Here is a 24,945-nt window from a genome sequence, read left to right on the forward strand (position 1 = left end):
GTTTCTCTCATCCTCACTTTACCTGGCTGCAAATTAGGTGAAAAAGTACCAACTTCACAGGACTAAGATCCTGATAACAGGATTAACATTCTGATAATGTATACTAAGAGCCTATCTGGCACAAAGTCAGTGCACAACAAATGGAAGCTGTTATTACTTTAGTTTTCTAATTGATTTGGGCATAAGTCTGATCTCTCCAAATGAGGTCCTTGCGGAATAGGCTTTATTGGTATTGTCAAAGCCCTCTAGCCAAAGACTGCCAGGAACACACCAATAGTGGAAAGAGTTGGGTTTAATATTTATTGCAGTGAAGGAGAATGCTTACCATGGGGCAGCATGGGGTGTCTCAGTAAGAGGGTTTTAGAAAAAGAAAGTATTATAGGATTTAGGCTTTGGTTGAGTGATTTTGGGGAAACTCAAAGGAAGGAGGGGTTCGTTCCAGATTGGCCGCTGTCAGAAAGCAAGGGCAATTCCACAGGGAGGGCAGTCCAGAGTGAGGACCAAGCTGTAATTGGTAAAGAAGCAGCAGTCACTCTTAATAGCTGGGAGAGGACAATGTTAGGTATTTTGTGGGTGGCACAGTGACCTTGTTTTTGTCTGTGCTTAGAAAACATTCCGAAGTAGTCTTGTTTTGTCTCCTTTTATCACGGTCTCAGCATTATCTTGTCTGATATTGGTGTTCTGAGAGATTATGTCCAATAAGACAGTAACATGCTCTAGCTGTGACAGCCAGCCGTTGAGAATAAGGCTAGCTACTAACAACAGTGAGGCCACAGTGTCAAACCAGTTCCTGGATGTCAGGGACTGCTTTTTTCTTTCTCAGTATCTTTTCAAAGCTTCTAGGAAGTCACATCTATTGAGTGTTTAAAAAGCTTCCTGAATTAATGAAAAAACCATGTTTGAAAGTGAGTTGTATGTTGTAAGAATGCAATCTTTTACACCTATACTTATATCATTACTTTTAATTAAGAAGCTTGCTTCATTTACTGTTCCTCTCAAATGGATGGCAGCAGAAAAACAACCAATTTAATTTTAGTTTACAGATGGAAATTCTAAGTGGTTTTACTAAGATTATGTTTTGAGTCAAGAGCCACAGTACAATAAGTTTACTTTCCTCTGCAAGATGGAATCACGCTTAGCCAGACTTCAAAAAGGATGGCACCTTCCAATTTTGAAAACACATATTGTGAATACTTTTCTTCCTCAAATGAATATCATCTTTGTGAGTAATTTAAAAGATTTAATGGTCACTTATCATACATTTTTTGGGAGAAATGTTTTCATAGTACATTAGGATTAGTATTTGCCACTCTCATGCCAAGCTGAACATTAGGCATTTTAAGGCTATAACACAAATAATTTTGAAAGAGTGGATCAGTTTTAAAATGTGGCTACACAATGGTCATACATCACCTGTTTCAGAACAGGTTTTACTGCCATATCAAACTCTCCCTCACCCATATCAAACTCTCCCTCACCCCAAATCTTTCAGAGTGGTCTATGACAATTCCACAAATGACTGTCCCACACCCATAGTTGGCCTCAGTTCCAGCGTTTTACTACCTGAAGGTATTGTGAATTAAAAGGGTAACAACGAAAATCTCAAATAATGTGGAACTTGTGAAGAAATAAGTAAGACTTGGTGTGGGAAGATCAGTCCTGAATTATGGCAACACTTTTATTCTAGAGTCTACAGAAAAGCTTTCAAACTAGTAGCTGCTCCTGACATGTCTTAGGACAAGCTTCTCATTCCTAGTCAAACAGTTGGCTAGAAGTTCTCATAACTGGAATATCAGTGGCAATAGTAAACAGAGTTTAAAAGGCTGAGCTCATCAAACCTCCAAAGAATCAAAGCAAATAGCAGATGTCAAACTATCTGTTACTAAATGGGCTGATTAAAACTTTTAAGTATCTGAGGGGGAGAAAACGGGAAACTTCAGCCAAAAGTTCTGGGGTCTTACAAAAACAGATGCACTGAAAAAAACTATCACTAAATAATGAAATCAAGATTTAGAGTCACTAGTATCACAAAACATAATAAATTAATGTGTCTATATAGATTTTATTTATATATGTGTTTATAAGCATTTTGTGAAATAAACATATTTCCAGATATAAATGAAGATCAAGGATATTCACCACTTAAATATTTGAAGTGGTTTTTGGTAAGTTGGTTGATGGGTATAAAAGACTTTTTTATTAATGACTACAAAGGATCTCCCAAATTTTAAGTATATTATACAAATGATATAATAATAAAATACCTTTTTAGGATGACAAGTACTAATACATATTATCATAAATTACAACAGATTGTTTATAATATATAAACGCTAAAATTTTACAAAAATATGGGTCACGATGTAATAATTTCATTACTTAATACTTAATAATTTAATACTTAATACTTCTTAATATGTAACAATTTCATTACTTAATTTCATTACTTTTATGCTGCTCTCATAAAACTTATTCTTGTACAGCTGAAAACAAACACCTTATAATTAATCTTCATTCATTTTACAGAATATAGTATATAATAAATTATATATGTCAAGTGTATTAATCTGAGTAACACAGAAAAAACAATGACTGAGCTACTTTTATATACCTGGTGGGTTAAAACTCTGCACTAATCAGTAATGGCTTAAATTATAACACTGTCTGCATCATCTGCAAAGCAGCAGTGATAAAGAGACAAGGAGAGTTTAGAGGAGGATCCAGAAATATAAACAATGAAATCTTAACCACTGGAATAGAAGCCTTTCGAGAGTTTACACATTTGCTTAGTAAATGTTATCTTAAGGATATTTGAAAAAAATATTAATCCAGTGGATATGCCAAGTTAAAAGACGTTAGAGTTCTCCATGTAATGCCCTACGTGGCGCTAGAGGAGTAGCAACTTATTGGGGAAATGTTTACTACCCTTATTAGTAAAAAGGAGACATATTAATGATTCACTTTAAAGGACACTTTAATGATAAATTGTTAAATTATAAAATTGAATACTTATTAAAACATACATAAAACCATATAACATATATACAGCGCTAATGAACAATTTACTTTTCCATGGAGTTTAATAAACCTACTTTAATAAATTATCTTTCAAGTTAAATTAACAATGGCACCTATGTTTTTTTCCCCCCTAAGTATTTAAGTTCAGGTGCAATGAATTTCTCTATCACAACTTTAGGTCAACTCATAAAACTAATTTTGCAGAGTAGAATACAGTTAATTCTTGTTTTCTGCCTAGTATTCTTCAAAGATAGAAAATTTGAATGTTGTCTTACCTGACCAGGTTCTGTTCCAGTTACAGTCAAGTCTTGGATGGATCTACGTCTTGGCTGTCCGTTGCCTTTAAAAAGAAGAAAAAAAGTAAAATACTAAAATCTAGTCAAACAGACAAAAAGCGTGTAATTGCTACAGCAGAAAGTTGGAATTTGTTGCTCCTTGGATCTACACAAAATGTTTGTGGGGAAAAAAAAGTGAGTTTATTGCTAAGAAAAAAAAAAAAGAAGAGAAAGATGTAAAGAAAGGAAGAGAAACAGCTGCGGTGTTTTAACTCAAAAGTTGCTGGCCTACAACAGAGTATGTCCTAATACAATAACCACTTCTACCACATGAATAGCTGCTGAACTCTCTTCCACCATCTTCTGTCATGTGTTTAAATAGATGAATGCTTGGGGGCTGGGGCTGATGACGGCATCTATTTCAAGGGCCTTACGTTACAGTTTTTACAGCAAGACAGCTAGCAGGTTGTAAGACACAACTGACTTTAACTGGCAGCAATACCTTGTTCATTTCAGGGCCTAGAAGATGCTTAGGCTTAAATTTGTTATATTGAGTCACGCTTACTTAATCCCCATTAGTCTTTGTCAGAATCTAGTAATTTATTATTTGTGAACAACAACTCTTAATTTCCTACTGGATGTTAATAACTGTCACTCTGTTCTCAAATATACAGCTTGTTGAAATGGGCTATTGTGTTAATTCTGCTTTAGAAACTTCTATGTTTATAATTAATTTAATTAAAAATCAATTTATGAGAGAATTCTACACATATAAGTCCTCAGCAAAACAATGAATTGAGCAATGGCTTCACTCAGCACTTTTATTTGGGAATAAAGCTGTTTATGCAGTATCTTCTAACGTGAGAGATCAGCTGTCTAAAAGGAAACACCAAAATACTGAGTAACAGCTGATACAATACTCAAAATTCTTTTGACTCTGAAATCTGTATTACGTAATTTCTCAACTAGTGGGCAACACTTAGAACATGTACTCACTCTAATTGTAGTTTCCCGATTAGTAGACAGAATTCATTCTTAAAATTTTAGACTTCCAGAATCTTTCGTAGAGACATCCTTTTAAAACCAATCAGCAATATAATTTAGCACCTTAACCCACATGACCCCATTATTATGCTGCAGATAAACTAAAAGGACCTTACAATGGAATAAGAATGTTTAATAGAATAATATGTGTAGTGAATATAAAAACTCAAATTTGTAACTCCTCTTGCAAATGTAAGACATCATCAGTTTTTTTCCATTTTAAGCTACGTTTTATAATTCTTTGCATTATCTGAATTCACATTTACTTCAAATTTCATTTTATTCCAAAAATTTCAACTTTTCATTACAAACTAAAACAACAAAACTGTGCATTTATTGAATTAGATCCACTAGATTACTTTTCTGAATACTTTCAACTACCCCTGTTTCCCAAGGACAAAAAGGATCCCCACAACCGTGACTAATAAGCAATTTTAGGCACATTTCATTCAACACATTCATTCTAAAATTAGCGGTGATGAGACAGGCTTGTAAAAGTGTCTGGAATTCTCTTTTCAGATTAGCAACACAGCAACATTTGTTAATCTGAGGAACCACCCGACACATGTGTCTATAAACCATTACATCACCATTGCAATAACAACAAAAACTGAACTTAAATTTAGGTGGAAGGATAGGAGAAAAGGGAAGTAAAACCTTTTAAGGAAGTAAGGTAAAGAAGAGCTGACAGTTAACAAATGCCATAAAATGAGAAATCTTTAAGCTACTGCATGAATCAAAGCAAGCAGTATTAGGCAATGCATTTTAATTAGCACAACCATGGCAGAAACCATCTGGCAGATAGTTCAGACAAAGCAAAACAGGATTGCAATCAACAAATACTTGTTGCTCCAATATTAAATTTTAAGTCATAATTTAGAAATATGAATGTAAGAAAAATCAACCTCCTATTACTTCAAATGAAAATTACTGGGTGTGTTCTCAGTAAATTTGAATTGATTCTGAAGTTTTTTGCAACTGAATACTAATTTAGACATTCACTCATTTTACCTTTTTTGGTCCTTTGATATGTACATACCTATATTATACATGGTAGTGTAAATGGAAAAAGTAGTAGAAATGAGGACAGCATGATGTAAACAGATGCCTGATCAAGGAATCTGAAACCTGCATATGCTATCCTGAGTATTTCATTCTGTAATGAATTCTGGAACGTTCATGTCTTATAATAGAGAACAAATTCCACTTTTTAGAATGACTTCTAAGAATACATCACATTGCCAGTGCATACTAAATCTGCACTCCTGCCCACCGCAAATAGAAAGCAACTTAGGGGTCAGTTCCATTCTTTTTACAGTAATGTCATTAAAACAGAGCCCCTCTTCAAAAAAGCTGCTCTTTTAAGTACAACTGATTTCCTGAGCTGGTATTTAAAAGTTATCCCGGGTTTCTTCCAGAGACTGCTGGCTTAGGTCCCAGACAGCCACTCCTGTAATTTTTCTTATCAGTTAAGCTCATAGTTTTCCTTGACTTACACTACTCTTATTTTCTACTTTAAAACTTCCTGAAGACTGTCTTCATGTAAGAATCAACACTACATTTTCCTGGAGACTTCTCTTAACCTAAATGTTAGAAATTTTGAGATTCACGAGTTTTGAATATTACACATTATGGGACACCATTCTCTTCATGTGTAAAATACCCAAGATTTAAAAAAATGCATAGCATGATACACTAGCATTACATTACTGCTTCATGGTAAACTGAACATGTAATTTTAAAATATATGTTCTAATTTAGGCTGCCAAAGTTTCGTATTTCTTTACTAATTTTAACAAATTCTGGCTCTTTCACTGGAAAGGTCCGTCAGGTGGTTTATTTGCTTTCCAATAAACCAGCTTTATTAGCTTAGAGTTGAATTTTTTAGATTACAAAAAGTGATCTTGGTAGACTATACAATATGGCAGAAAGGCCACCTAAATATTCATTATAAAGTTAGATTAACTTCCCTATTTAATATGCCACAAATAGAGAATTTTATTGAAAGTGAGGTGGCTATACACAGAAACTAGTACAGTACATCTTAGTATAGCACCCCTTAGCCCTAGGATCCCTATCAAAGGCTTACATCTGCTAATGACACTATCTGTGCTAGGTGAGAACTTGCCAGATCTAGAAAAACTCAATTCTTTCTCTCTTTGCCTCTTCATATTGGTGCTGCAGTAGTCTGGAGGAAATATTTAATAACTTACATGCTTCCAGTTAAAGAAAGGTTTACAAACATTAGTTACCGACCGGCTCTTGAACCAAATATACTATTAAAAAAGTGATATTTTCATCCTGGTGGAGAAAGCAAAATAGTGCTCAGGTGTCCTTGAAAAGCATCTCTGCTTCCAGTTGTTTAAGCATTCTATAAAGCCCTCCCCACCTAGATAATTTATTTGCCAATACCTGACATTTGAAACTTCTGAAGGAGGGCAACAAGATACAAGTATTAGAAGCCTAACTACTCATCTATTTTTCAGTTAAAATGTTTGGGCCTCTCTACATTCTACTTACTCCAATTTACTACTTATCATACTGTTAGTAAAAAACCAATATACAATAGAGCTAAACGTCCTTGACTGAAATTAAAAGCGAATACGCGTTTTTTATTCAGTTAAGAGATCTAAATGCGGCTGAAATCATAAGGACACCTAAGGTTTCTTTTTAGCTTTAAGAATGATATAACAAACAATAAATATCAATTAAGTTCAGGTTCTTCAGGAAACTAGGCAAAAATCTTATCTATTTCAGTAAGATCTGACTCAAAAACATTTGTATATTCAATCTTCTTTTGCATATCCTTAAGAACAGTATGTAAGACAGAAAATCCTCTTTGGTCAAGGCATTTTATTGCTCTCGAATGTTATGCCATATTATTTTAGGCTTAGAAATAACAAAAGGTACACTAAAGCAACACTGTTCAAGGTTCTCAAATTGAAGCACTTCAAGGCAATGTTCATCTATAGAATGGATGGTTTTCAAGTACTTGAAATCAAGCATTATAATCTAATCTGAACTAAGAAATAAATTTATCTATGATGATATAATAGCATTAAAAATGTCTGTAATTTAGAAAATTTTACTTTTGCATATCACATTTGGGAAACTCATTTCACTTTATAAAAGCAATCAAGCCGGTATGAACCATGTACAACAAATTTTATATCAGAGTAGAAGTGCAGAAGACTAATGTTTAATTAAATCTTTTATAGGTGGTAAGTATATATGTATATGACAGTATTTTTTTCCAGTAGATTTTAGAATGCATTATAATTACAGTTTATTTCCTTAAATGCTATAACTACTCACACAAAGGCTCCAGAGCAGAACAACCCATCTTCCATTACTGATGCTACAAGCATGAAAAATAATTCGCTTTCTTAACTACTTATTCTCTTACTCTACATGTTAAACTGAAAAAGGTTGTTCCTCTTTTTTTGTAATATTTAGGCATTCTACCTGTTCCTCTTTGACATTTGGATTTTTAAAAGAAATGTAAAATTTAGGTATTCTTCTAACATCAGATGAACTGCATTAGAATGTCTTACATAGTTTCACAATCCCAATAATCTATTTCATTTGTGTACTTGAGATGAAGGTGGGTGAAAAATAGATTCTTGGAAGCTTAGATAGTGACAAAAAGAAAATATGGGAAAAAGTAAAGAAAATCCATGCAAAACAATGATCTGTGTTCTTACTGCCCTTATTAAAGTCCTAGAACAAAAAAAATCTAGAAAAACTTCAAAGAATCCAATAATCTGCTACCTATTCCCTTTTCTTCAAATATAAATGTAACAAATTAGATGTACTGGCTGAAAGGAGAAAGGATATGGTTTTTAAAACTCAAGTTTTAATAAAAAACATTTAAGAAAATCTATTTCTTTTCTCGAAGTCCCTTCCAACTTACCAGCAAGCAAATGCATTAGAAAACTGTAGTTCATATGGTCTAAATACTGGGCAAGAAACTTCCACATTTACATTTACTTTGCTTAGGTAGCACACTGCTACTTGGCAGGACCTTCTCTACAAAGGAAGAGTCAGCAAAATGTCACACACTCTACTGGTAATTTGCTCTTAGCTGCGTGTCTTCCTTGGTAAAAAGGAGCCAGGCTAATCTATAAAGCTCACTCTTTTAAGGGCAGATGGACAGTGGAAAGAAGGAAGGGTTACCGTACAAAAGTTTGTCAGTTCTTCAGAGCCAGTAATATGGTAGAAGAGGTATAAAAAATTGTACAGTCTGACCCACAGGGAGTCCTAAGGTATTAAAGGTTAATTTCTGTATGATCTGAGAGACTACTAAATTGATAAATAGTGCTGTTTTGCTAAGTTGCTTTTTCTTCCACATTTGACTGATGGCATAGTATACACATTTTGAAGAGCGAGCAAAAAACAAGATTACAAGATTAGGGTCTTTGCATTTCTTTACCTATGACTAGGTTAGACATTTTAGTGACTTTAAAGATATATATACAAAACCTTTTTTGTGATGCTTGAAGGATTGCTCTTATTAAGAGAGGTAGTTCATTCCAAGAAGTACATTAGACTCAGTACATTGCACTTGGCCAAAGGGAAGTATTAACGAAACTCTTATCCATGTAAATAAGATCTTTAAAAAGCTATATTTAAAAAGAATCCTTGCAATTGGGTTTTAATGCTAATTAAACAGTTTGAATATATCAAGAAGTATTTGCTAATACCATAAAGCTTGTGGGAAATCCACTTAGAACAAAACAATTTCTAGAAAGTATTAAGAAATTTTGGAAATTAAGTATCACCCTTCTTTACAATTAAAATGTCATGTAGGAAATTTGAGATATTCCCAAAGGATGGGCGGTATTTTTATATTTAATTTAAAAACATTACCTATGAGCACATTCATGATTGGCTTTTATGTCCACTAGTGTCAATTCTACAGCTTGTATTCTTCTATTAAAGAAAGTGCACCTGAGTAAGTTAATGTTTGATATCTGAGGGGGGAAAAGCCTAAAAAGAATATTTAATAAAAGGTATTACTGAATAATATTTTCATATGAATAGCACTGCTGCTCTGGCAATTAAGAGAATTAAGGTTACCTGATTCCATAAAGGCCCAATGTCATAAAAGAGGATCTCCCTGGCTGAAGAGCTCTCCTTAATGTGAACACTAAGAGAAAGCAAGAAGAAATTACTCTAGCTTCTCTGACTTAAACAAAAGAACAAAAAATGGATGTGACTTGGAGTCAGAAGATCTGGGTTGGGGTCCTGGCTATATGATTCTGGAAAAACCACTAAACATCATCAGATCTAAGTTCTTCGTCTGTTAAACAGCTATAATTTCATCCGATAACCTAGTTGTAAGATTGTATAAAGGTAAAATAAGATGTACTTTAAGCTACTTTGTAGGGCACAAAGAACATCTAATCAGGGGTTTTCAGCCTCAGCACTGCTGCCATTTTGGGCTGGATCATTCTTTGTTGGAGAAGACTGCCTGGTACACATCAGGATGTTTAGCAGCATCCCTGGTCTCTGCCCACTAGATGCCAGTAGTACCTGACAGTTATAAACTATTATTCTTTCCTTATTTTTCCCTCCCCCATTATCTTGTATAGCGTGGGCTACGCTGCCATATATAAATTTATTCTTAATGCTTAGTCATAAGATTACACTGCCATCTGTCTAAATTTTCCTGATTCCCTCAAACATTTAAGGGAAGCACAGTTCAGCGGTATGTAAGTTTAAATGCTTCCACCTCTTTAAAGTACGTCCCTTATACACAGTACCTTTCCGCATGGAGGTAAACTGATCTCCATGTAAAATGATCTCTTTGTTAATTTCTGAAGCAGTCCAGATTCAATAAATAAAAATTACCATGTGAAAAATGGGTTAACTCTACTCTTTGAATAGCAATAGTAATGATGTTGTAAAATAAGAAACCACTTTGATAACCAGGGGAAAATTAATATAAGATAGTTTTATACAGACAAAATGGCACCTAAGAATAGTATAATTCATATTTTTGTATGCTAGTTTCTCACCAGGGGAGATGCTCAATAGGTCTGTTCATTTATTTAATAAATGTATTTATTAAACACTATGTTAATATGCTTAATATGTGAAGCACTGAGCCAGCAACTGCTGATACAATCAATAATAAGCAACAACAACAAAATAATGCACAAAGATATGGATTCTATCCTTACATAGTTTTCAGTTTAGTAGAGGAGAAAATAACCATTAGGTATTCAACTAGAATTATCAACACTGCTAAAAACACAATCACAGGCAAAGGACAGCATGCTGAAGAATTCATCCAACTCGCACTCATGAACGTGTGTGGAAAATATGTATTTCCTTATCAAGATTTTGGGTAAAGAGGTAGAGAAAAGCCTAAAGGGATAAATAAATGATAATTTTGATAATACATTAATCAATACTGAAGGTCAATATGCCATTTAAGTTTCTATTAAAAATGGTAACATATTCCTCTATGAAATGATCACCATAAGAAATAAAGCAGTTTACCAATTTTAGACACTAAAGTACCATGTGTAAGTTAGGTATAAAAACATGTAATTTATGAGATTCTCCTGATAATACACAAAAATCAGAATTGACCAACTATTTTACATGATTCTTTGGCAAGATACCCTGCAAAACAGCACATCTCATTTAGCTTTACTTTTTGTTTTCCAGGTTAAGGCAAAATGCTATTTAGCAACTCTCTTCTCTCAACTTCACATTCACTTGCTACCAACAGAAAGAGGTTAGGACAGAAAGTCTAGAGGGGACCCAAAAAGCAGTAACTGAGGAAGGAAAGGAGCCAAGGAAAATAACAAATTTTAATTAGTTGTTTCCTCTTTCTGTTGGGTGCAAAAAAGGTCTGGGTTTAGCTCATGTGCTCACTTAAAAGTAGAGAGGAAGTTGGTAGAATTCTGGGTTGGTGTTCTCCCTTCTCCAAAAAGGTTTACTTTCTCTTCTATTTTATCCTCACTTATTGTAGATCAGAGGTATCTTTTCAAGACTGCTTCAGAATAAATGTAGTTTTTCAATCTGTCTCCCTAATTACTGCATGCAAGGTATCCATTTTCATGTCTTGTAAAAATTGGAGCAAGAAGCATTTTACAAGTACCAGGGATCATTATTCCGGTTCCACAGCTATTAGACCAACTCAGGTGGTCTATGATACCTGATATGACGATCTCAGGGACATCCAGAATGTTGCCAAATGAAGCAGTTTTACGGTGGCCCCGTTTAGGCTTGGAATAGGCTGCAAAAACACATATATACAGTATACATGCAAACAACCACAAACAGTAACACGGAAAATGATTAACTACAAAAATAGACTCATTTTCAAATAGTTCATGTTAATAACATTTCATGCAGAATGGCATGCAGAACTACCTAACTTTTCATCCATGCTCAGAAAAGGCGAGATTAAAGAGCAAACAACTACCAAATACAAGATGTTTTACACACTGGTTTTAATTAGCAGAAAAAAATAAAAAGAACAGAGACAAAGCTGCAGGGTAATGAGGAAGCAAAATTTCAAATATATTCATAGAAACAGTCTACCTAAGTGAAATCACTGATCTGTGATGGGGGTGGGGGAACGAAGGAGGAGAGGAAGAAAGGCGTTAAAAAGTAAGTTGTCGTATTTGTTTTAATTACACAAACACAGGAATACATGTTCAAGTTAGGTGTTTCTTGAAGTGTGCTATAAAGTAAAATCCAATGATTAAATAATAATTATTGAATCAAAGTGTGAAATGTATATGCTTTTGTAGTCATACTTATACATATTTCTAGTACCAAATATTTATTATATTTTCCAAAGTTTAGGGTACATTCACAGTAAACACAAAGTCTGTCAAAAGGCTGGAAAGTATGACTCTTTCCAAGTAAGACAATTCATGAAAAAATTTAAATTGTGTAAAACTCAAGGGATGTACAATAGCATTTGTTCTACACTTAGGCAAAATTTTAATGTGTGTGGTTATCCTTCTAGCAAAGTCATTTCTGTAAATAATAATAAAAAACCAGTGCTTGACTAGAAATATGATACTAGCGAAGACATGAAACCATTATTATAACAATTTTCAGTTTTGAGACAGCAATTAGTATGTGGCAGATCTATCCTGAACAACATCCCTGAAGTGAAAAGGGTTCCTCAAAGCATGAGGGTATGTCCCGGTGAGTAGGGTTCATCTGACACTACAGTGAGACAACCCTGCTCCAAAGAAATACTTGTGACTCATGGAGACTCATGGGCTTGTCAGTGGCTGGTGACTTCTACTCAACTTGATAGTTTCTGAAGACCCATCTGTGGCAGACACAGCTATCTTCTGCCAGTTTCCACTCTTCCCTTCTGTTTTAGCAATAGTACTCTGATTTTATTTAGGACAGAAAAGTCATCAGATAAAAGAGGGCAGATCTCCTCTTCCCTTGGAGCTACGTGTAGCCATTCGACCATGTTACTTTGACCAATGATGTGTGGATGTTGTTAAGAGAGGCATCTGGGAATGTTCCTTCAAAGAACTTGGATGTCTATTTGCCCTGCCCCCATGTCTTCCTTCCTATTGCCTGGAATGTAGAAGTGATGAAATGGAACTTCAACAGCCATTTTGGAGCACAGGATAACTTTGAGAATGGAAGCTATACAGTAGGGATTACAGCACAGAAATAGGAGACCAGTTACTTCAAGATCACAGAGCCCACTACCTCCAGACTTGTTTATATGTGAAAAATAATGCTTATGTGTTATAGACACTGTTATTTCGGATATTCTGTTATATCTAATGGATTCTAATAGTAGCTGATAAAATCAATGATCATGATTAGTTGAAGACAAGTATAGTATGATGGTCCATCTTGACAACTTCTTTCTGAAAAGAGCTCCACACACAATGAGAATATTCTATTTAGAAAAAAACCAAATAAGTGAAAAAAAGACCTAAAAAATTGGTTAGCTAAGTTAAAAAAGATGCAAATACACATGAATATATACATTTATACACATACATAGTTAAAAGATGGGGTAAATACACAAAAATGTTAAGTGTTTATCTCTGAGTGGGGTAATTATGTAAGTTTTTTTGGCTTGTTTACATTTCCACATTTTCCACAACAGAAACGTGTTTACTTTTAAAATCAGCTCCCCCTGATCCCTGGAAAGAATCAGCAAAAAACCAAAAACGTCCAAATTAAACCAGCATTACTAAAATGAAACCTGGTCACAGAATTAGGTTGTCAGTTTACTTAAGTAACAAAACATGTAATTGTTTTTGTGCTGACCAGTTCTTCCATGATTAATAATTTTAAGAACTGAACAATGGAATTTAAATGCTAGCTTTTTCAAGATCTAATAAAATTATGATATTTTATTTTACAATTAAAAAAATTAACCACAACCAGCTTAGCTATTATTTTGTCACTGGAATGAAGAAGCAGATAGAAGGTCAAATCATACATGGATCTGGAATACATTTTTCTGTTAAATTTGAAACAAAATATTTGCTATTATTTGAGTTCAGCACAAAAATCTAGTAGTATCACTGAAAATCCCCAAAATATTCTGGTTTTGGCAGAATTTCAATTTCTCACTTAGACTTTCAACTCATGTTTGAGCAGAAAGAATTACATTTGATAAAATCTGTAAATGAGGAAGGCATACTTTCTCATCCAAATAATTTTACAAGTCATACCTTCCTTATTTGGAATTTGAGATAAATGCATAAACTATTGCTAGTAACTTAGAAAAATATATTGTAAACCTACTTCCTATTTAAAAAAAAATATAAGACACACACAAAAAACCTTTGACAACTGAAACTACCATGGCCAAAAAGGCTTATATACATTTTCACTCTTCAGACTTGTAGTTCCTTTTTACCTGTGGTTGCGGCGATCCTAGCTTCTATTTCAGACATGTCAGCACTCATCCTCTTGCCCTCAGAGGTTGGGGGCAAGCTCTCCACACTGCTCCCACGGGAGGCTCCCAAGCTTAAACGTCCAGATTCACTCTGTTAAAATTACAGGTCAATCTGAATTACTGAAGTTCTTTAGATTTAGCAATCTTAGGCAACCTAAAAGGAGGAAGATGGCAAATGGGATTCTGATAGATCCTGTTCTGCTCTGAAAGGAGAGGGAAGTTTGTACGAGAGGGAGCTACAGGGGTAAGGGAAAGCAAGCTGCAGATACTGTCTTTATGAAAAGGCAGTCACTAGAACTGGGAGCTAAAAGCCCCAATTATTCGTTAACCTAAATGCCTCAGGCAAAATGAATAAACTCACTCCTTGAAATATTTTTAAAAATCAACAATGGCAAAAATATAATAAATCTGAACAGCATGAAATGATAGACTTAGAACAACTCCTCTAACTGGGCAGCGCAGCCAAAATATACCCATTTTACATTTTTAACCATCAACCATTACATTTAGGGATTATTATAGATAGGGATTTAGAATTGGCAAAGGTAGCAATCATTAGAAGGAAAAACCATTTGGTAATAAATGGTAGGAGAATCTCATTACGTGTCTCTATTTGTAAGCTCTTTTGCATGTTTCAGGAAGAAAATTCAGGATTTATAAAATAGAAGATGGTAAATAATTAATTTCAGTTAGTATAATATTGTGACTACTGGTAAGGTTACCAGTTTTACTTGTAATAACATAACAAACCTGTTGCTTTGCCTGATTTTTCAACAATTTTGATTCTAAGCGCTTAATAGTATCATTTGTGGCAGGAACTTGCTCCATATTAGTGTCACTTTTGTTACTCGTATTTGTAGAAGCAATGTCCATGAATGAGCCTAGGAAAAGCAGAAACATTTATGACTAATGGCTGGAAATAATACAAATGCTTCACTTGGTATTATGTAACTTACATTCTTTTATAAACTAGCCAGGCAGGAACAGAAATAAAATAAGACTTTTCAAGCTAATGAAGATATCCAAACAAACCCATTTTAAGAGAAACTTAAGGATAGCACAAAAAAGGAACCAAGATGCCTAAATAGTCTTCTAATAGTCAAGAATAACTTAAGGTTTTTAACCTGAGCTAGTAGAAGAACTGAGGGCTATTAATTGAGATGCGGAAAGACTAAAGGAAGAGTGAGTTTGAAGGAAGTATCAGGAACTCAGTTTGGAAAATATTAAGTTTGAGTTTCTAGTAGATGTAAAGGAAATAGTTGGATATATGAGTATAGAGTTCAGGTATAAGATGGAAAACATTATGAGCCAACAGATGGTATATAAGGCCATAATAATGAATGAGGTTACCAAGGAAATGAGTGCAGACAGATAAGTGAAGAAGCCAAATGAGCAGGCCCTGGGCACTCCAACATTTCTAGGTTGGGGAGATGAGGAATAACCAGCAAAGAAAACTGAGAACAGACGGCCAGAGATGTAAGATGGAATCTAGGCTAGTATGGTATCTCGGAGGCCAACTGAAGAAAGTGCTGTCTGTAAGAAGGAGAAAGTAATGAATTAGGTCAAGTGCTACTGAGAGTCAAGATGAGAAATGAAAATGATTCCTTAAATGTAGTGATGTAGAGATAACTAGTGACCTTGACAAGAACAATTCTGAAGTACTGGCATAATACGTCTGAATGGAGTCAGCTCAAGAAAGAAGGGGAAAAGAGAAGCTAGTGAATGCAAATACAGACTACGTATGTTTTAGGAATGATCCAGTAGAAAGCTAAAACTGATGATGCAAGAGACAGGGGAGAATTGCTCAGAGGAGCAGATGGGATATAATGCACAGGCAGAAAGGTACACCTTTGGCCAGAAGTATGGATAGTTTAGCCAGAGTAACAGAAGAAAGCAGAGTAGATGGGCACAGATGTTGTGGAAGCTGTCTTCCGATTACTCCAATTTTCTCAGAGAAAGAGCAAACAAGATCAGCTGAGAGTGAGGAGTGGCGAGGAGGTGTTTGAAGTCTGAGGAGAGGCTACAGTATAAAATTAAGACATATAGGAGGAAAGAGATGAACTACAATACAGTACAACTGTCCAATAGCACTAAACATGCACGTGAGGATAGTAAACCTGTGCTATCTCCAGCCACACTCAGCTGCATTGGTACAGGCAAGGAGTAAGCCGAGTGTCAGCTTTCATTAGGCTTGTGGTTTAGCCAAGCAAGCTTGAGAGAGAGGCTAGAAAGATGAAAATTATTCCCAAAAGAATTATAATAGTTGATTGGAATTAAGTGGAGGGAGAAAGAAAAAAGGACCTAAGAGGACTGAGGACCAGTGAAAAGGTGGGAGGCTCAAAAAATTCAAGGTCACAGTAAGGAAATGAAGAGAGAGTTTAGAGGACGTGGGAGACACAAATGATAGAATTTTAGAGAAGTACATTTTAGAATTCAGAGCAACTCAAAATATTTTCAGTAAAACTGGAATTTGAGAATAACTAGCCAAGCAGTAACCATCTTAAAATAAATAAAACTATTCTTGAGGTGGGAGAAATAGATCAGTAAAAGTATTTTTCAATAAATGCAGGGTAAATACATGTGCATATAGACACACACATATCTTTAAGTTTCAATTAATAATGAAATGCTTATAATGCCACTATATTTTGAGAAGTACAATATTTCTAAGTTACAGTATTATTTCTACTATCTTTTTGATGACCACAAATTACATGTCCCACTACTACTTCACATTTCGGAAAACTAAGGAACTTTTAACATAGCTTCTTAAATCAGAGCCTCTGTAGAAGAGAACAAAAACTAGGGTGTTCGTGATGAAGAAATGTTTAAATACATTTACAATAATTTCTAATACTACTTGATCTAGTAGTATGCATGTAAAAGTGATTTTTCAAGTTAAGAATGACATTCACTGTAATACAATATGCCATCTTTTTATTCATAATTATGTAGGAATTCTAAGACTTGGAAGCAGGTCTTCAATAACTCTTTAATCAGGGTACCTACATGAAGAATGACGCACCTGTAAACTCAAATTGCAGTCAATCATATGAAATGAAGGAATTAAAATGCAAATGGGGACATTATTCATTACTTCTTGATTATAATTTCATGGGAATAGAGATGAAAGAAAAATCAAGTCAATACTCTTCCAATCTATCCATTTACCTGTACTGGTGGCAGAGTTGCTCTGTCCTTCATCTGAATACTGACAAGGATACTGTAATGGCTCATCTGCTCCTGGAAAGTACTATATATAAAAAAGTAAACCACAGCTTAAAATTTCCTTAATACAAATTAAATCCTGATTAATGTTTTATTTTCCCTAAGTTATATACTAAATTTGTAGGTGCCTAAGTTTTTTATTTTACAAAGATTACAATAATGTACTCTTGGATTTCAACTTTGATCAATGCCATGCACCTACCTAAGAATCTAGCTTACATTGGAGTCTAGATAGTCTTGAAGAAAACAGCAAATATTTCTCTAGAGAAACATATGAAATAAAATAGTATCATTTCTCATAATTATGTAAAACATACTCATGTTCTTACAGTAGTGATGTAAACTTCCAGTGACTGTTAGTCTGAAGACTGAGACTAGTATACCATAGAATAATTGTTAGAACATTTTAAATATTAAGAGGATAGATTATGAATGTCTTTCTACAAACTGGAGGCATAATACTCAAAGTATCTGCTGGACAAAAATGTTAGAATTTAGAGAAAAAAAGGAAACGTATTCTCCTCAAATTAGACAAGGAACAGAGAAGCAAAATTACAACTGCAATAACTTATATATCCTAAAGTTTTAAGTAATCTGACTACAGAGACTAAGTTGTTTTCTTATGCACACACCTTTAAGGCCTAGGCTTCTATATATGACTGGTATCCAAATACGATGGTAAACTTTTAGTAGATTAGTTCAAGCTGCTTTGCGTAAGAAATTTTCAATAGATTGAATAAACAACGTTTTACCATTTAGGAAATTACTTAGTCTATATTTAAGGAGATTGTAAGATTCTTCTACTGAACAAACTGTTTCAAAATTCAGGCACTTTCATAGATATTTGAACTTTTTAAAGCCAAGATACCACTTCACAGTTTTTGTTAATGTACCAAAAACCAGAGGCGTAAAATATTCCAAATAATTCTAAAGGCGCTTGATTCACAGACTAGGAAAATTTGATAATCATTTAAAAGGGTTCTTCTAAATAGAAGAAAGTTTAACTTTTTACTGGGATATAAAAACCTGAAAATAGGCCAAATAGTAAAAGTCACTCAAATAAATGTGTCTGAGAATGCAACCTATTGCCTTGCATAAATGACTAAATGCTTGATGAAAATTGGTATCAGAAAAATGTAAAATTTAGTTTATCATGTATTGAAGTCATAATATTAATATATCCAAGTCCTGTGATGGCTTTAGAGACTATCTATTTCAGTTTCTCCCACATTACAAATGAGGCAACAGGCCCAGAGACAAACATACTTGTCCACTAATGTAAGCAAAAAGAAAAAAGCAAGTCTAGAAACCTAGTCTAGCCATCTTTCCAGTGATAAAGAACTAGATTTTCCCTCTCGAAATGTTTCCTCTTCTGACTATGAGTAATAAATGCCCATTCTCACTTAGAAAACATAGCAATATATAAAGCAGAATATAGTAATAACATCCCTTTTAAAATTCCATTAAAACTCAGCACATATTAAATTCCCCTAAATCCAAAGCCCCTCAAAAGAAGGATTATACCCGCATCAAGTGAGTCATTATTTTCACAATTTCCTCCATTGAAGGGCGCTGGGAAGGATCTTTAGACCAACAACGAGTCATCAGGCTCTCAATGGGCTTAGGTAAATTTTTTATCAGTGGTGGTCGAGTACCTACAATTGAAAATGAGAGGAAGGGGGGAAGAATGTATTTACCCAAAGAATGATGCAAACTCTTTGTACGTATTTCCAAAGTGGTATTTATTTTATAGATCTTGTAGTTTAAGATCTGTAATTTGGAGTAATAAAAGTGCTTTGTAATTTTATCAATTAACAAGTTAGTTCTTTTACTCTTTACTTCACGGACGTTCAATTATTTACTGACAACTGATAGAAAGCAAGCAAGCAAGCTGTCCTGGTCAATGCTGAACAGTCTCCACAATGATACTAATGGTAGTAATATTAAAGGCAGTATAGGAAACTGGTAAAAACAGCTAAGATTACTCAGATGATGGTACTGTTTGATAAATCTATGAATGACCTAAATAATTAGGCAGACATTTGTTTTTAGACTTGTGGAATAATGTAAAAAATGGCCATTAGTCACATGATTATAAACAAGGCATAGAAATGAAATAACTAAGAGTGGCGCTAAAATTAAGAAGGTAAGTAATTTTCCTTCATGAAAAGCTATTTTCCCAAGCAAATGTAAAGTAACTTTACTAATGAAGAGGATGCATTCTAACATCATATGTGGTTAAAAACAACATTACCAGAACTATAAAAGAAACAGGACAGATGCAAGGACATTGAGTCCATAAGTCAATATGACTTAAGATATGAGCATTCAAGTCAGAAGCATCTGGATTTGAATCCCAGCTCTACCACTTACTAATCTTGTGACCTTAAGCAAGTTATTTAACCTCTCTAGGCCTCAGTTTCCTAATCTGTAAAATGAGGCAACAGTACTCACCTTCTAAGGGTGGGTGAGAATATAAACAGGAAAAATATGTGAAGCATTATTATTCTTTGCTTCTTCTCCTTGATGAGGCCCTTGCTTCTTCAGGAGAAAAGGGCTATAACTCTCCAGTTATATTAACCATGTCAGAGATTTTATGTATGTATTTTTTTATTTTTTCCATGATCCAGCCTGATGCTTCTCCCTAAGAGAGAGCCAACTGTCTAGGTTGCGTACTGATGGCCTTTCCCTAATCAGCGGAGCCAGTGAACATCCTCAGCCGCATGTGTAGACCAGGACTACTCTCAATCCTGCTCTGCTGGACTCTGGGGCAGGGACAGGGCAGAGTCTGATAATAGCAAAGCAGTCTCTTAACAAAGAATTGTACATTTTAATGTTAGAGATAAATGATATTCTTTAGGGAAGGGGACAGGAGTAGTCTTCCAAGTAGAAAACACAAAAAGTACTTTTAAGAAAAATTTCTTTTTACGAACCATTATGAACAGCCCACATGATTCGGAAAGCTGGGCCACCAATCTCATCAAAGGGTTTCCGACGCGTTATCACTTCCCAAAGAATAATACCCCAGCTGAAGACGTCACATTTTTCACTGTAATTACTACCTAGAAAAAAAAAAGGTAGTATATAACCTAAAGACTATTTTTCCACATGACTTACAGAAACAATGGCTTAAATTTTGAGAATGGGTATCAGGGATAAAAATGAGGCTGTCACATGTAGAACTAAGAAACTACTCTTTCTGAAGTACTTTGTCTTTTCAACAAGTACATTTTTAAATGAATTAAGTATCAACAATACACTAAAAAACTACTTCAGAAACTCAGTTATTTTCTATCTTTTTTCATCAAGAGGCAGTTTTTTCATCAAGAGGCACAGGACTTGACTTTTATGTATTTAGACTGATACTTTCTCTGGGGCAGAGTATGAAACATCTGTACATTCCTTTATGTTGTTTATTATTATTTTATTCTGAGACAGGATCTCACACTCTCATCCAGGCTGGAGCTCAGTGTAGCCTCAAACTCTTGGGCTCAAGTGATCCTCCTGAGTAGCTGGGGCTACAGGCATGCGCTGGCACAACTGGTTAATTTTTTAAATTTTTTGTAGAGATGGGGTCTTGCCATGTTGCCCAGGCTGGTCTCAAACTCCTGGGCTCAACTGATCCTCCTGCTCTGGCCTCCCGAGGCGCTGGGATCACAGGCATGAGCCATTGTGCCTGGCCTCCTTTCTGTTACATTTTAATCTTAAATTTTCTTCCCACTCTGACAGACAGCACTACTCTGCTATCAAAGCAGAAGAACTTTCTAATTTAGTGTTACAGTTTTTTCCTCAATATATGGTGAAGGGAAATTCTTAATTTATAAACTTAAACATTACGTTGTAAGTAACGAAAATTATGGATAACCTGAGTTACACAGCAAAATTTACAAACTAAGTAGGTGGTTGAATCAGCCAGCACAATAAGCACCCGTCATAATCTCCCAAAAACAAACAAACACTCAACTCACTGTAAGAATGAACAATTATTATAGCTATAGCTTTACATGCTAAGCAGTACACTGTAATATAGCACTACAACCATGCTACAGTCTAATTTGGGCTACAGGTTGACTGACATCTTTCAGAAATGAAGAAACTTACACAGCCTAACAGTCTGCATTTTGTTGCTCTAGACAATTAAGGGTTGTCTAGAGCAATAAAATTAATCTTTTGTATAAACAAATCTTTTTGCTCTCCACATACAGTAACATTGGGTCATTTTAACTCACATAAAGGTATATTAAATAAGTAAATAATTTTAAAACAATGTCAAATGTATACATTCTGTATATGAAACAGGAGGCATTATTTAATCTTGTGTAATATAACACCTGATTATTCATTTATTACTAAATTGAATTTTAGGGCAAAAGAGCTCCACTCAGGTGACTAGTTGCATTGCAATTTCTCTTCCTCTGGGGTGGCTAAAAACAAACAGAAAACCCTTTAAAGTCATCAAAACTGAAAGAAATAAGCTATAACCAGAGTCTGATTAACTGAATGTATCTGAATTTTATGGGCATTTACACTTCCTAACATACAAATCACATACCTTCAGTTCAACTTCTTTCATTTAAAAGATAATTTGATGTTTTTATACAGAAACCTAGCATATAATTTACAGACAACTCTTTTAAAACTTCAGTGACATATGGAGGTATAAAAGAAGGTAAACATATAAGCTTGACATTTATTTGTAATTCTTAGTATCTTATTTCTGTCCAATTACTTGCATTCTTTTTTTTTTTTGAGATGGAGTCTTGCTCTGTCACCCAGGCTGGAGTGCAGTGGCACGATCTCGGCTCACTGCATGCTCCGCCTCCCGGGTTCACACCATTCTCCTGCCTCAGCCTCCCGAGTAGCTGGGACTACGGGCGCCCGCCACCACGCCCGGCGAATTTTTTGTAGTTTTAGTAGAGATGGGGTTTCACCGTGTTATACAGGATGGTCTCGATCTCCTGACCTCATGATCCGCCCACCTCAGCCTCCCAAAGTGCTGAGATTACAGGCCTGAGCCACCGCGCCCAGCTATTTGCATTCTTTTTAAGGCATCCTCATTTAAACTTTAGGGCTCTCAATTTTTAATTGCTAGGAAACCAATACAAAAGCACAGTTAATTCTCATTATTCCTGGTATTTATGTTCTATAAAGTTTCTGAGAACACTGAATTAGTGAACACTGAATCACTGCTCCTAAGGAAAATACAGGGGTAGGTTCCTGTGTGCCTCTGGTCACCATGTTTTTGTCAACTGATCAATATATAGCCTTGTTTCATGCGTATTTCTGCTTAAAGACACCTTATTCATATATACTGTTGATTTATTACCATTGAACTCATAGTCAACATTTCTGTAACTCATGCCTGAATGAAGATAATTTAACATATGTATATTGTCTGTTAAGATACATCATAGCCTTCTTGTACTTAGGCAGTACTATGCTTGAGGGCCATTTTAAGTAGCAAAATTACCAACAAAAATCACAAAAATGAAAAAGGGCTCTGAACAGCACAAAAAAGGACACCTGCTTACAGCATGAGAGCTGAAACAAGACGGAAAAACGTTGTCTTGTTCAACCTCAGCTGGAAGCATGCGTTAGATGACTCAAAATTTGCACTGCTCAGCGCATGCACACTGTCTGCGAGTACATGAAAGCACTGTCTGCAAATAACCATGAAAGCACCATGAGTATTAATTTTGGGGTTACAAATAAATGTTAGCAAATAGGCAATTTTGCAATTAAGAAATTGGTGAACAATGAGGATCAACTGTACATATGCTTAGAAGCATAGAAGATTTAAATCTTACTATAAAATTTAGGATATAACACTATATTTAATATCCCCTTAGATTTCATTGTATACTTTATGTATTATGCAGAAATAAAACCATGGAAATGGGGAAAATCTATAAAAACATATGAATTCACAAGGAGTGAGGGAGATTATCAAACATACCATACTTTTGCCATTTTACCTTCAAAAACTTCAGGTGCCATCCAAGCAGCACTCCCCTTGTTATTGGTCATGTGTGTCTGAATGTCACAGGCTGTACCAAAATCACAAATTTTTAGAACTGTCCCCCCTGCAACCAGCAGTAAGCTGTTTAAAAAAAAACAAAAAACATCAAAAGTTACAAGGCCAACATTTTATTCTACAATAAAAGAAGAGACATTTGTGGAAATGGAAAAGGTTAAGCAAAATGAATGTTATCATTCAACTTCTGTGAAATGACTAATTTACTTGGTCACTATAAAAGCCTAATAGTTCAGAGAAATAATAAGCAAAAATTAATTAACCATAACCTAGCTCTCTTTGGAAGGCTGCTAGACTCACATTCTGATGTCTTCATCTCTAGCTCCAAAATCTTTCCTGATCATACTTCTATCTGGCCAAAATAAAACGTGGGGTTTAAAAAACTTCTGTTAGGTCAACATTACGGTATCCTGAAATGGGAGTTTAATCATAAATATGTATTACTTAAAAAATAGTAACACTATATAAAGAAAATAATCCAATATAGAAGGAAAAAAATGGTCTGTAATTTAATGTCTTTATTTTGAAGATACTTCTAAAAATGTTCAATCCCAAAACCATTTTTGTGCTTAGACTATGAATGTGTGGGAGGAATACAAATCTATTATAGCTAAAATGACCTAATGAGAGATTTCTGGAAAATTTTCTGAACTTAAGATTCGGACTTTCCTAGGTGTACTATTACCCAACTACAGTCACCAAGTAGCATACTCTTACTTACAAGGTTTTGCTTTTCATGACAAAGAGAAATAGAAATGGGTAATATAATTTGCACCATCACATTGTAGTAATATCCAATAGCAGTACATAGGAATTCATTTTAATTACAAGTTTTATAAACTTTTTACATCTGGAGAGACTATTTGGAAATTTCTTCTCTTTTAGTCCAATGTGACTAAAATAAGTCAGATAAACTACTATTCACAGTTCCATAATACCAAAAAGACTCTCATAATCATTCCAGTGAAAAGAATGCTAAATCCAGTATACCTCTATATGTACTTCAACAAAGCTTTTTTCCCGCATCTCAATGTTCTTGTTCAAACTCTTACACTTTTTACCCAAGAAAATTATAAGAACTCTGTAACTAGTTTCCTTGTTTTATACTGGTATATTCAAGATATCAAGATAATTTCTGATGATTCAAGATAATTTTCCTGAATGAGTTTTATGTTAGTACTCCTTTACTCGACTTCAAAAGTTCACCAGCCTTGAACAGGAAATTCAGGGCTCACTGAAATCTGAACTTAAATTATCTTTGTAGGCTTACTTTCACACTGTTAAGATTAAAAACACATTTTAATTTCTAATGTAAATGTGAATAAACTTGCAAAAGATAAAATACAAGCACAAGCACAACTTGATAGTGTATAAAACACCTCCCTAGATCATCAGGTACCTTCTTTAGATACCATTTTGAGGAACTCTTC

General features: G+C 34.6%; 1 protein-coding gene across 5 annotated transcripts in view, besides 1 other annotated feature; it reads right to left on the bottom strand.

The window, feature by feature from the left end:
• Positions 1–24,945, bottom strand: part of MAP3K7 (mitogen-activated protein kinase kinase kinase 7) — a 73,494-nt gene that overhangs the window by 19,465 nt on the left and 29,084 nt on the right. For 3 of the 5 annotated variants that reach the window (NM_145332.3, NM_145331.3, XM_006715553.4), the window contains 8 exons: positions 23,457–23,581; positions 20,415–20,543; positions 19,006–19,136; positions 17,425–17,506; positions 15,004–15,134; positions 14,215–14,344; positions 11,509–11,589; positions 3,294–3,358 (listed from right to left, as the gene is read on the bottom strand). In NM_145332.3, the coding sequence (NP_663305.1) occupies positions 3,294–3,358; positions 11,509–11,589; positions 14,215–14,344; positions 15,004–15,134; positions 17,425–17,506; positions 19,006–19,136; positions 20,415–20,543; positions 23,457–23,581 (874 nt within the window). The remainder of the gene's footprint in view (positions 1–3,293; positions 3,359–11,508; positions 11,590–14,214; positions 14,345–15,003; positions 15,135–17,424; positions 17,507–19,005; positions 19,137–20,414; positions 20,544–23,456; positions 23,582–24,945) is intronic. The other 2 variants (NM_145333.3, NM_003188.4) reach the window with 1 other exon arrangement.
• Positions 8,293–8,493: a silencer, noted in NCBI's record as "peak5962 fragment used in MPRA reporter construct". NCBI's record gives its function as "represses an SCP1 promoter by STARR-seq MPRAs in K562 erythroleukemia cells {active_cell/tissue: K562}" and the evidence as "EXISTENCE:reporter gene assay evidence [ECO:0000049][PMID:32103011]".

This window comes from Homo sapiens, chromosome 6, assembly GCF_000001405.40.
Source record: "Homo sapiens chromosome 6, GRCh38.p14 Primary Assembly".
Classification (NCBI taxonomy): Eukaryota; Metazoa; Chordata; class Mammalia; order Primates; family Hominidae; genus Homo; species Homo sapiens.